This window comes from Homo sapiens, chromosome 4, assembly GCF_000001405.40.
Source record: "Homo sapiens chromosome 4, GRCh38.p14 Primary Assembly".
Classification (NCBI taxonomy): Eukaryota; Metazoa; Chordata; class Mammalia; order Primates; family Hominidae; genus Homo; species Homo sapiens.
Window position 1 is genome coordinate 73,359,149 of NC_000004.12, and position 13,419 is coordinate 73,372,567.

Below are 13,419 nucleotides of genomic sequence, written 5' to 3' on the forward strand. Positions count from 1 at the left end.
CCCTCATCCCTGTACAATATCTGTCCCCATCACAGCCAGTAGTGCCACAGTAGATTTATGCTGCACAAAAGCTGTGAGCCTTCTGCCTGGGGAACCCCCGCAAAAGGTCCCAACAGGAGTCTGTGGACCCTTGCCAGCGGGGACGATAGGATTCCTTCTAGGAAGGTCTAGTTTAAATTTAAAAGGGATACAAGTACAAACAGGAGTCATTGATTCAGATTACAATGGGGAAATTCAAATTGTTATATCCACTTCTGTTCCCTGGAAAGCAGAACCAGGAGAGCGTATAGCACAGCCCCTGATTATGCCATATGTGGAAATGGGGAAAAGTGAAATTAAATGAACAGGAGGATTTGGAAGCACAAATAAACAAGGCAAAGCAGCTTATTGGGTGAATCAAATTACTGATAAATGTCCTACCTGTGAAATAACTATTCAGGGAAAGAAATTTAAAGGTTTGGTAGATATAGGAGTAGACATTTCAATCATTTCTCTACAGCACTGGCTGTCCGCGTGGCCAATTCAACCTGCTCAATTTAACATAATTGGACTTGTAAAGCCCCTGAAGTATATCAAAGTAGTTATATTTTGCATTGTTAAGGGCCCAATGGACAACCTGGGACTATTCAACCAATTGTAACTTCTGTACCTATAGATATAAGGGGAAGAGATTTATTACAATGGGGAGCACAAGTTCTAATTCCAGAACAATTATATAGCCCTCAAAGTCAACATATGATGCATGAAATGGGATATGTCCCTGGTATGGGACTAGGAAAAATTTACAGAGTTTGAAGGAACCACTTCAAGAGGAAAGACGGAGTTCTCGCCAAGGTTTAGGATACCATTTTTGATGGTGGCCATTGTTAAGCCTCCAGAACTTACACCTTTAGAATGGTTAACAGATAAGCCAATTTGGATAGAACAATGGCTGCTAAGTAAAGAGAAACTGGAGGCTTTAGAGGAATTACTTACTGAACAATTAAAAACCAGACACATAGGCAGTTCCAAGATGGCCGAATAGGAACAGCTACAGGCTACAGCTCCCAGTGTGAGTGACACAGAAGACGTGTGATTTCTGCATTTCCAACTGAGCTACCAGGTTCATCTCACTGGGGCTCGTCCGACAGTGGGGGCAGGACAGTGGGTACAGCCCACCGAGTGTGAGCCAAAGCAGGGCGAGGCATCGCCTCACCCAGGAAGTGCAAGGGGTCAGGGAATTCCCTTTCCTAGCCAAGGAAAGGGGTGACAGATGGCACCTGGAAAGTCGGGTCACTCCCACCCTAATACTGCGCTTTTCCAACAGTCTTAGCAAATGGCACACCAGGAGATTATATCCCGCACCTGGCTCGGAGGGTCCCATGCCCACGGAGCCTTGCTCATTGCAAGCACAGCAGTCTGAGATCAAACTGCAAGGTGGCAGCAAGTCTTGGGGAGGGGCACCCACCATTGCTGAGGCTTGAGTAGGTAAACAAAGCAGTCAGGGAGCTCGAACTGGGTGGATACCATCGTAGCTCAAGGAGGCCTGCCTGCCTCTGTAGACTCCACCTCTGGGGGCAGGGCATAGCCAAACAAAAGGCAGCAGAAACTTCTGCAGACTTAAATGTCCCTGTCTGACAGCTTTGAAGAGAGTAGTGGTTCTCCCAGCACGGAGTTTGAGATCTGAGAACAGATAGAGTGCCTCCTCAAGTGGGTCCCTGATCCCTGAGTAGCCTAACTGGGAGGCACCCTCCAGTAGGGGCAGACTGGCACCTCACATGTCTGGGTACCCCTCTGAGACAAAGCTTCCAGAGGAAAAATCAGGCAGCAACATTTGCTGTTCAGCAATATTCGCTGTTCTGCAGCCTCCACTGCTGATACCCAGGCAAACAGGGTCTGGAGTGGACCTCCCGCAAACTCCAACAGACCTGCAGCTGAGGGTCCTGACTGTTAGAAGGAAAACTAACAAACAGAAAGGACATCCACCCCAAACCCCCATCTGTACGTCACCATCACCAAAGACCAAAAGTAGATAAAACCACAAAGATGGGGAAAAAAAAAGAGAAGAAAAGCTGAAAATTCTAAAAATCAGAGCACCTCTCCCCCTCCAAAGGAACACAGCTCCTCACCAGCAATGGAACAAAGCTGGATGGAGAATGACTTTGATGAGTTGAGAGAAGAAGGCTTCAGACGATCAAACTTCTCTGAGCTAAAGGAGGAAGTTCAAACTCAATGCAAAGAAGCTGAAAACCTTGAAAAAAGATTAGACAAATGGCTAACTAGAATAACCTGATGGAGCTGAAAACCATTGCACGAGAACTACGAGATGAATGCACAAGCTTCAGTAGCCGATTCAACCAACTGGAAGAAGGGTATCAGTGATTGAAGATCAAATGAATGAAATGAAGCAAGAAGAGAAGTTTAGAGAAAAAAGAGTAAAAACAAATGAACAAAGTCTCCAAGAAATATGGCACTATGTGAAAAGACCAAATCTACGTCTGATTGGTGTACCCGAAAGTGGCAGGGAGAATAGAACCAAGTTGGAAAACACTCTGCAGGATATCATCCAGGAGAACTTCCCCAATCTAGCAAGGCAGGCCAACATTCAGATTCAGGAAATACAGAGAACACCACAAAGATACTCCTCGAGAAGAGCAACTCCAAGACACATAATTGTCAGATTCACCAAAGTTGAAATGAAAGAAAAAATTTTAAGGGCAGCCAGAGAGAAAGATCAGGTTACACACAAAGGGAAGCCCATCAGACTAACAGCAGATCTCTTGGCAGAAACTCTGCAAGCCAGAAGAGAGTGGGGGCCAACATTCAACATTCTTAAAGAAAAGAATTTTCAACCCAGAATTTCATATCCAGCCAAACTAAGCTTCATAAGTGAAGGAGAAATAACATCCTTTAGAGACAAGCAAATGCTGAGAGATTTTGTCACCACCAGGCCTGCACTACAAGAACTCCTGAAGGAAGCACTAAACATGGAAAGGAACAACTGGTACCAGCCACTGCAAAAATATGACAAATTGTAAAGAACATTGATGCTAGGAAGAAACAGTATCAACTAATGAGCAAAATAACCAGCTAACATCATAATGACAGGATCAGATTCACACATAACAATATTAACCTTAAATGTAAATGGGCTAAATTCTCCAATTAAAAGACACAGACTGTCAAATTGAATAAACAGTCAAGACCCATCAGTGTGTTGTATTCAGGAAACCCATCTCACATGCAGAGACATACGTAGAATCAAAATAAAGGGACGGAGGAAGATCTACCAAGGAAATGGAAAACAAAAAAAAAGCAGGGGTTGCAATCCTAGTCTCTGATAAAACAGAGTTTAAACCAACGAAGATCAAAAGAGACAAAGAAGGCCATTACATAATGGTAAAGGGATCAATTCAACGAGAAGAGCTAACTATCTTAAATATATATGCACCCAATACAGGAGCACCCAGATTCATAAAGCAAGTCCTTAGAGATCTACAAAGAGACTTAGACTCCCACACAGTAATAACGGGAGACTTTAAAACCCCACTGTAAACATTAGACAGATCAATGAGACAGAAAGTTAACAAGGATATCCAGGAATTGAACTCAGCACTTCACCAAGTGTACCTAATAGACATCTATAGAACTCTCCACCCCAAATCAACAGAATATACCTTCTTCTGAGCACCACATTGCACTTGTTCCAAAATTGACCACATAGTTGGAAGTAAAGCACTCCTCAGCAAATGTGAAAGAACAGAAATTATAACAACCTGTCTCTCAGACCACAGTGCAATCAAACTAGAACTCAGGATTAAGAAACTCACTCAAAACTGCTCAACTACATGGAAACTGAACAACCTGCTCCTGAGTGACTACTGGGTACATAACAAAATGAAGGCAGAAGTAAAGATGTTCTTTGAAACCAATGAGAACAAAGACACAACATACCAGAATCTCTGGGACACATTTAAAGCAGTGTGTAGGGGAAATTTATAGCACTAAATGCACACAAGAGAAAGCAGGAAAGATGTAAAATTGACACCCTAACATCACAATTAAAAGAACTACAAAAGCAAGAGCAAACTCATTCAAAAGCTAGCAGAAGGCAAGAAATAACTGAGATCACAGAGGAACTGAAGGCGATAGAGACACAAAAAACCCTTCAAAAAATCATTGAATCCAGGAGCTGGTTTTTTGAAAAGATCAACAAAATTGATAGATCACTAGCAAGACTAATAAAGAAGAAAAGAGAGAAGAATCAAATAGATGCAATAAAAAATGATAATGGGGATATCACCACCAATCCCACAGAAATACAAACTACCGTCAGAGAATACTATAAACACCTCTACGCAAATAAACTAGAAAATCTAGAAGAAATGGATAAATTCCTGGACACATACACCCTCCCAAGACCAAACCAGGAAGAAGTTGCATCCCTGAATAGACCAATAACATGTTCTGAAATTGAGGCAATAATTAATAGCCTACCAACCAAAAAAAGTCCAGGACCAGAAGGATTCATAGCCAAATTCTACCAGAGGTACAAGGAGGAGCAGGTATCATTCCTTCTGAAACTATTCCAATCAATAGAAAAAGAGGGAATCCTCCCTAACTCATTTTATGAGGCCAGTATCATCCTGATACCAAAGCCTGGCCGAGACACAACAAAAAAAGGGAATTTTAGACCAATATCCCTGATGAACATTGATACAAAAATCCTCAATAAGATACTGGCAAACCAAATCCAGCAGCTCATCAAAAAGCTTATCCATATGATCAAGTCGGCTTCATCCCTGGGATGCAAAGTTGGTTCAACATACACAAATCAATAAATGTAATCCAGCATATAAACAGAACCAAAGAGAAAAACCACATGATTATCTCAGTAGATGCAGAAAAGGTCTTCAACAAAATTCAGCAGCCCTTCATGCTAAAAACTCTCAATAAATTAGGTATTGATGGGACGTATCTCGAAATAGTAAGAGCTATTTATGACAAACTCAGAAACAATATCATACTGAATGGGCAAAAACTGGAAGCATTCCCTTTGAAATGGGATGCCCTCTCTCACCACTCCTATTCAACATAGTGTTGGAAGTTCTGGCCGGGGCAATCAGGCAGGAGAAAGAAATAAAGGGTATTCAATTAGGAAAAGAGGAAATCAAATTGTCCCTGTTTGCAGATGACATGATTGTATATTTAGAAAACCCCATTGTCTCAGCCCAAAATCTCCTTAAGCTGATAAGCAACTTCTGCAAAGTCTCAGGATACAAAATCAATGTGCAAAAATCACAAGCATTCTTATACACCAATAACAGACAAACTGAGAGCCAAATCATGAGTGAACTCCCATTCACAATTGCTTCAAAGAGAATAAAATACCTAGGAATCCAACTTACAAGGGATGTGAAGGACCTCTTCAAGGAGAACTACAAACCACTGCTCAACGAAATAAAAGAGGATACAAACAAATGGAAGAACATTCCATGCTCGTGGATAGGAAGAATCAATATCATGAAAATGGCCATACTGCCCAAGGTAATTTATAGATTCAGTGCCATCCCCATCAAGCTACCAATGACTTTATTTACAGAATTGGAAAAAACTACTTTAAAGTTCATATGGAACCAAAACAGAGCCCGCATTGCCAAGACAATCCTAAGCCAAAAGAACAAAGCTGGAGACATCATGCTACCTGACTTCAAACTATGCTACAAGGCTACAGTAACCCAAACAGCATGGTACCGGTACCAAAACAGAGATATAAATCAATGGAACAGAACAGAGCCCTCAGAAATAGTACCACATGTCTACAGCCATCTGATCTTTGACAAACCTGACAAAAACAAGAAATGGGGAAGGATTCCCTATTTAATAAATGGTGCTGGGAAAACTGGCTAGCCATATGTAGAAAGCTGAAACTGGATCCCTTTCTTACACCTTATACAAAAATTAATTCAAGATGGATTAAAGACTTAAATGTTAGACCTAAAACCATAAAAACCCTAGAAGAAAACCTAGGCAATACCATTCAGGACATAGGCATGGGCAAGGACTTCATATCTAAAACACCAAAAGCAATGGCAACAAAAGCTAAAATTGACAAATGGGATCTAATTAAACTAAAGAGCTTCTGCACAGCAAAAGAAACTACCATCAGAGTGAACAGGCAACCTACATAATGGGAGAAAATTTTTGCAATCTACTCATTTGACAAAAGGCTAATATCCAGAATCCACAAAGAACTCAAACAAACTTACAAGAAAAAAACAACCCCATCAAAAAGTGGGCAAAGGTTATGAACAGACACTTCTCAAAAGAAGACATTTATGCAGCCAACAGACACATGAAAAAATGCTCATCACCACTGGCCATCAGAGAAATGCAAATCAAAACCACAATGAGATACCATCTCACACCAGTTAGAATGGCGATCATTAAAAAGTCAGGAAAGAAGAGGTACTGGAGAGGATGTGGAGAAACAGGAACACTTTTACACTGTTGGTGGGACAGTAAACTAGTTCAACCATTGTGGAAGACAGTGTGGTGATTCCTCAAGGATCTAGAACTAGAAATATCATTTGACCCAGCCATCCCATTACTGGGTATATACCCAAAGGATTATAAATCATGCTGCTATAAAGGCACATGCACATGTATGTTTATTGCGGCACTATTCACAATAGCAAAGACTTGGAACCAACCCAAATGTCCATCAGTGATAGACTGGATTAAGAAAATGTGGCACATATACACCATGGAATACTATGCAGCCATAAAAAGGATGAGTTCATGTCCTTTGTCAGGACATGTATGAAGCTGGAAACCATCATTCTCAGCAAACTATCTCAAGAACAAAAAACCAAACACCGCATGTTCTCACGCATAGGTGGGAATTGAACAATGAGAACACTTGGAGACAGGAAGGGGAACATCACACACCGGGGCATGTTGTGGGCTTGGGGGAGGGAAAGCACTAGGAGGTGTACCTAATGTAAATGACGAGTTAACGGGTACAGCACACCAACATGGCACATGTATACATATGTAACAAGCCTTCACATTGTGCACATGTACCCTAGAACTTAAAGTATAATAAAAAAAAAAGAAAAAAAAAGAAAGCGGACACATAGCTCCAACATTTTCCCCTTGGAATTCTCCAGTTTTTGTATTTAAGAAAAAATACAGTAAATGGAGAATGTTGACAGATCTTAGAGCCATTAATTCAGTTATACAACCTGTGGGAGCATTACAGCCAGGATTGCCTTCTCCTGCTATGATTCCAAAAAATTGGCCCTTAATAGTCATAGATTTAAAAGACTGTTTCTTTACTATCCCCTTAGCTGAGCAAGACTGTGAATGGTTTGCACTTACAATTCCTGCAGTAAACAACCTGCAGCCTGCTAAGCGTTTTCATTGGAAAGTGTTGCCATGAGGCATGTTAAGCAGTCCAACGATTTACCAGACTTATGTAGGGCAAGCAATTGAACCTACTTGTAAAAAATTTTCACAGTGTTACATTACTCATTATATGGATGATATACTTTGTGCTGTCCCCACTCGAGAAATATTACTCCAATGTTATGATCACTTGCAAAATTTGATTTCTCATGCTGGTTTAATTATAGCTCTGGACAAAATTCAGACTACTACTCCTTACTCCTACTTGGGGACCTTAGTAAATGACATTACCATGTGCCACAGAAAGTAACCATACATAGGGATCAATTGAAAACATTAAATGACTTTTAAAAATTACTAGGGGACATTAATTGGATACGACCTGCTCTAGGCATTCCTACCTACGCTATGAGTAATCTGTTTTCTATCCTTAGAGGAGATCCTAGTCTCACTAGCCCTCATCAATTAACAAAAAAGCTGAGGCAGAGTTACAGCTGATTGAAAAGCAAGTCCATAAAGCTTAAATAAATAGAATAGATCCAGAGAAGACTCTAGATTTGCTAACTTTTCCAACTCAGCATTCACCTACTGGTGGTATCGTTCAAGAGCAAGATCTTGTAGAGTGGCTTTTTCTTCCACATACTAATTCATGGACTCCTTATTTGGATCAAATTGCTAGTGTGATAGGTAATGAGAGAACTCAGATTGTTAAATTACGTGGATATGATCCTGGAAAAATTATTGTCCCTCTCACAAAGGCACAAATAGAGCAAGCTTTTATAAATAGTCTTACTTGGCAAACCCATTTAGCTGACTTTGTGGGTATTCTGGATAACCATTTTCCTAAAACAAGACTGTTTCAATTTTTGAAAGTAACTAATTAAATTCTCCCTAAAATAACTAAATTGAAACCAATTGAAGGTACTGAAAGTGTTTTCACAGATGGGTCTAGTAATGGTAAAGTTTCTTATTCTGGCTCGAAAGGTAAAGTTTTTCAGATGCCCTATACTTCAGCTCAAAAAGCAGAGCTTATAGCTGTAATTGAGGTATTGACTGCTTTTAATATGCCTATTAATGTGATTCCTGATTCTTCACATGTGGTTTATTCCATGCAATTGATTGAAAATGCTCAGTTATGATTTCATACAGATGAACAACTGATGATTTTACTTACCCAATTGCAAACAGCAGTCAGGAGTAGAATGCACTCTTTTTATGTCACTCACATTAGGGCTTATACACCTCTTCCAGGGCCTTTAACTGAAGGGAATCAAATGGCTGATTGCCTATTTGCTAATGCAATACCTAATGCTAGACACTTTCACAATTTAACCCATGTTAATGCCTCTGGTCTCAAATGCAGATACAGCATTACCTGGAAAGAAGCTAAAGCTATTATCCAGCAATGCCCAACTTGCCAAATGGTGCATTCCTCATATTTTACAGGAGGAGTTAATCCTCGAGGATTGGAACCTAATTCTCTTTGGCAAATGGATGTTACACATGTTCCCTCATCTGGGAGACTAGCTTATGTACATGTGTGTGTGGACACCTTTTCTCACTTCGTCTGGGCTACATGCCAATCAGGAGAGTCTTCTGCCTGTGTTAAACATCACCTTTAGCAGTGTTTTGTGGTGATTGGCATTCCAGCTTCTATAAAACAGATAATGCCTCAGGCTATCCTAGCCAAGCTCTAGCTACATTTTTCTGTATGTGGAATATTAAACACATTACTGGTATCCCATATCAGTCTCAAGGACAAGCCATAGTGGAAAGAACAAATTGCTCCCTGAAACAGCAGTTACAAAAACAAAAAAGGGGGAGAAATAGGGACTATAGGACACCCCATATGCAATTGAATCTAGCATTATTAACTTTAAATTGTTTGAGCCTGCCTAAAGTCCAGATGTTATGAGCAGTTGAGCAGTGTCTACAGAAACCAGCTGCAAAGACAGAAGCAGAACAACTAGTTTGGTGGAGAGCTCCGATAACAAAAATTGGGAAATAGGTAAAAATAACTTGGGGTAGAGGTTATGCTTATGTTTCTCCAGGACCGAATCAACAGCTGATTTGGATACCATCAAGACACCTGAAACCTTATCACAAGCCAGATGCCGAGTGAGAGATTCTGGGAGGATCCTGAGGACTCCCCAGTTGCAGCCATGTCAAGACTGATGCTGAGGAGGACCCCAACTGTCATGAGCAACACCCGTCGAACACAGCCACCCACCTGGGGACGGATCAAGAAGCTGTCGCAGATGGCAGAAGAAAGCCTGAGGAAAGTGGGACAACCAGTCACAATGAGTAATTTAATGGTAGTTATGATAGCGGTGATCACCGTTTCCTTGAGTATTCCTTCAACAAGGGCTGACACAGAAAACAATTACACTTATTGGGCATATTTGTCAATCTTGGCTGGCAATAATACCTGGATGTAATCACTCTATGACAAAGTTACACATGCTTTCTGATCTCAGTATTTACCATAATAAATCTGCTCCTATAATTAAGGCATACCACCCTCAAAAACGTGTTTGTAAACAAAATTGAACCTGGCCAAAAAAAATGAACGTCCTTGTTTAGGAAGATTGCATTGCAGAACAGTCAGAGGTGCTGCATAATGATTCTTATGGAATCATTATTGATTGGTCCCCTGAGAGGATGTTTGGCTTGAATTGCACCTCTCAATCTGCGTGCCATGGCCACACTATGTTCAGCTGGTTTGAACAAAATGGTCAGATGGTAGAAATGATAAGAAATACGGCAAGAGTTCCTATTTGGAACCATGGCAGTATAGTGGCACCTCAACCTCAAATGATATGGCCCACTGTAGGAGCTAAACATAAGGATTTGTGGAAACTATTAATAGGTCTTAATAAGATCAAAATTTGGGAATGAATAAAAAAGGCTCTAGAAGGACACTCTACAAACTTGTCTTTGGATATTGCAAAATGAAAAGAACAAATATTTAAAGCATCCCAGACACACCTGACCTTAATGCTAGGAACTGGAGTGCTTGAAGGAGCTGCAGACAGATTAGCAGCTAGTAACCCATTAAAATGGATAAAACACTTGGAAGCTCTGTGATTTAAATGATGATTGTGCCTTTAATCCATGTTGTCTTTGTATAGTCTGCAGATGTGGATCCCGACTCCTGGGAGAAGCAGCTCACCATGACAAAGCTGCCTTTGCTTTTATCGCTTTGCAAAACAAAGAAGGCGGACATGTTGGGAACAGGCCCTCAAATCTGGCCATAAACAGGTCCCAAAACTGTCCATAAAGAAAATCTCTGCAGCACTGTGACATGTTCGTGATGGCCATGACACCCACGCTAAAGGTTGTGGGTTTACCGGAACGAGGGCAAAGAACACCTGGCCCACCCAGGGTGGAAAACTGCTTAAAGGCATTCCTGAACCACAAACAATAGCATGAGTGATCTGTGCCTTAAGGACATATTCCTGCTGCAGGTAACTAGCCAGAGCCCATCCCTTTATTTCAGCCCATCCCTTTGTTTCCCATAAGAAATACTTTTAGTTAATCTACAATCTATAGAGACAATGCTTATCACTGGATTGCTGTCAGTAAATATGTGGGTAAGTCTCTATTCGAGGCTCTCAGCTCTGAAGGCTGTGAGACCCCTGATTTCCCACTCCACATGCTATATTTTTGTGTGTGTGTCTTTAATTCCTCTAGCGTCACTGAGGTAGGGTCTCCATGACCGAGCTGGTCTCAGCACTATTACATAATAGTATTTATTATGGAGTAGTATTGAGTTTGCTACATTTTCTACTCATGCCCCTACCTTGGCTTTCTGTTTCACCCATGGAAAAAAATCGAGATTCTGTCAGTCATGCATAGGACACGATATGATCTGGTCTCCTTACCTATGACTTTGTTTCCTACTACACTCCCCCTTGGTCACCCTATTTCAGACATACTGACTTCCTCAATGTTATTCCAACGCATTTGGCATGCTCCCATCGCAGAGCCTTTGCACTCATTCCCTTTGCCTTGAACACTCTTTCCCTACTATGTATGTGGCATCTACCTTGTCTCTTTCAAGTCTTTGCTCAAATACTGCATTCTCATTGAAATCTACTGTCTTATTTAAAATTGCAATGTCTCTGTTGCCTGCACTCCCCATCTCCTTTAACCAGCTCTAACTTTTTTCCATAGTACTATTCACCTTCTAAAATATTGTACAATAACTATTTACATTAATGTTTTCTGTCTACCATGCTAGAATGTAAATTCCATGAAGGTAGGAGCTTGTGTCTTTTCTTAATAGGCTGTCAATACAGGTTGTGCATCTCTAATCAGAAAAGCCAAAATCGGAAGTGCCCCAAAATCCAAAAGTTTTGAGCGCAACTGACGTGATGCTACAAGTGGAAAATTCCATGCCTGACCTCATGTGATTTGTCACAGTCAAAACTTTGTTTAATCACAAAATTGTTTTTTAAAATTGCATAAAATTACCTTCAGGCTATGTGTATAAGGTGTATATGAAACATAAATGAGTTTCATGTTTAGACTTGGGTCCTATTCTCAAGATTTCTCATTATACACATGCATATTCCAAAATCTGAAAAAATCTGAAGTTTAAATACTTCTGGTCCCAAGTATTAATATTTCAGCTAATGGATACTCAACTGGTATTATCTGTTGACTGAATGAATAAATAAATAGATTAAAGTTGTGAAAAAACTTGAGAAACTTATTTCATTTATGTAGTATTGAGAATTTGTATTTATAGTGCTCAGCTTATTAGGACTACATGTGAATACTTGCTCATTTATAGATAAGTAACATATACTTTAAAATGGTAAAATATGTTTATGAAGTTTGGAATAACATTAAAGATTACTAAAAATAAATAGGACTGTTACTGTGACTTGATTATCACAGTTAGCTCTTACATTTTAAGAAAGTCCTTTCTGGCCGGGCGCGGTGCCTCACACCTGTAATCCCAGCACTTTGGGAGGCCGAGGCGGGTGGATCACGAGGTCCGGAGATCGAGACCATCCTGGCGAACATGGTGAAAACCCATCTCTACTAAAAATAGAAAAAATTAGCCAGGCGTGGTGGTGGGCGCCTGTGGTCCCAGCTACTCGGGAGGCTGAGGCAGGAGAATGGCGTGAATCCAGGAGGCAGAGCTTGCAGTGAGCCAAGATCATGCCACTGCACTCCAGCCCGGGTGACAGAGCAAGACTCTGTCTCAAAAAAAAAAAAAAAAAAAAAAAGAAAGGCCTTTCTGTCCATACATGATTATTAAAACCAAGTTTTTGAGTTCAGATTTTTTTTTTTTTTTTTACAAGGACTCTCTTACTTCTTTAGTTTACCTCCTTATAGCAAGGTAGAAGTGGCTTGATGTTTTCAGGACTATTCTGCACACCATAGATTTCTCAAACTCTGTTTTGTTTGAGAACCTACATGGTTCTGTGAATTTTGTTAAAGCTAAAGTGGTCATTACTTAGAAAAGGAAATTTTAAACTTATTTTGAACCTGTTCTTTGGTTATTGATCTAAGCTGTTATTTTAAAAATATTCTAACATCAATATGTAAATGTACCATATTGTACATATTTAGACCCCAATATAGACACAGATAAAAGCAGTTTTCTATTGGTATACATTTATTTTATAGATTAAAATTAAAATATTTAATAATATGAAGTTAATCATTAAGACCAATAAAGCCATTTGATTGAAATTCATGAATGACAGTTGCAGTGCTTTTTTCAGACTCCTTCTGAATTTATGTCTGGAAGGGCTTTGGTTGAAAGATAACAAGTAAAATAGTTGGAATGGTTCTACTAAAAATGACAATAGTTAAAACAAAAGAAAAGCAGCCTGACTTGCAATCTGAGAATAACATGATTAGTAGGAATAGTAGGATAATTTTATTTCATAACTTCATCACCAACAACATCTAACAACCATTTATATTGTTGTTATTATTTCTGAGACAGGGTCTTGCTCTACCACCCAGGCTGGAGTGCAGTGGCACGATAACCGCTTACTGCAGCCTCAG

General features: G+C 40.1%; 1 annotated feature.

Annotated features, from left to right (window-relative positions):
• Positions 10,260-10,967: an enhancer, noted in NCBI's record as "OCT4-NANOG hESC enhancer chr4:74235125-74235832 (GRCh37/hg19 assembly coordinates)". NCBI's record gives its function as "activates a minimal SCP1, AML or CMV promoter by ChIP-STARR-seq in naive H9 embryonic stem cells {active_cell/tissue: H9 hESC(naive)}" and the evidence as "EXISTENCE:reporter gene assay evidence [ECO:0000049][PMID:30033119]".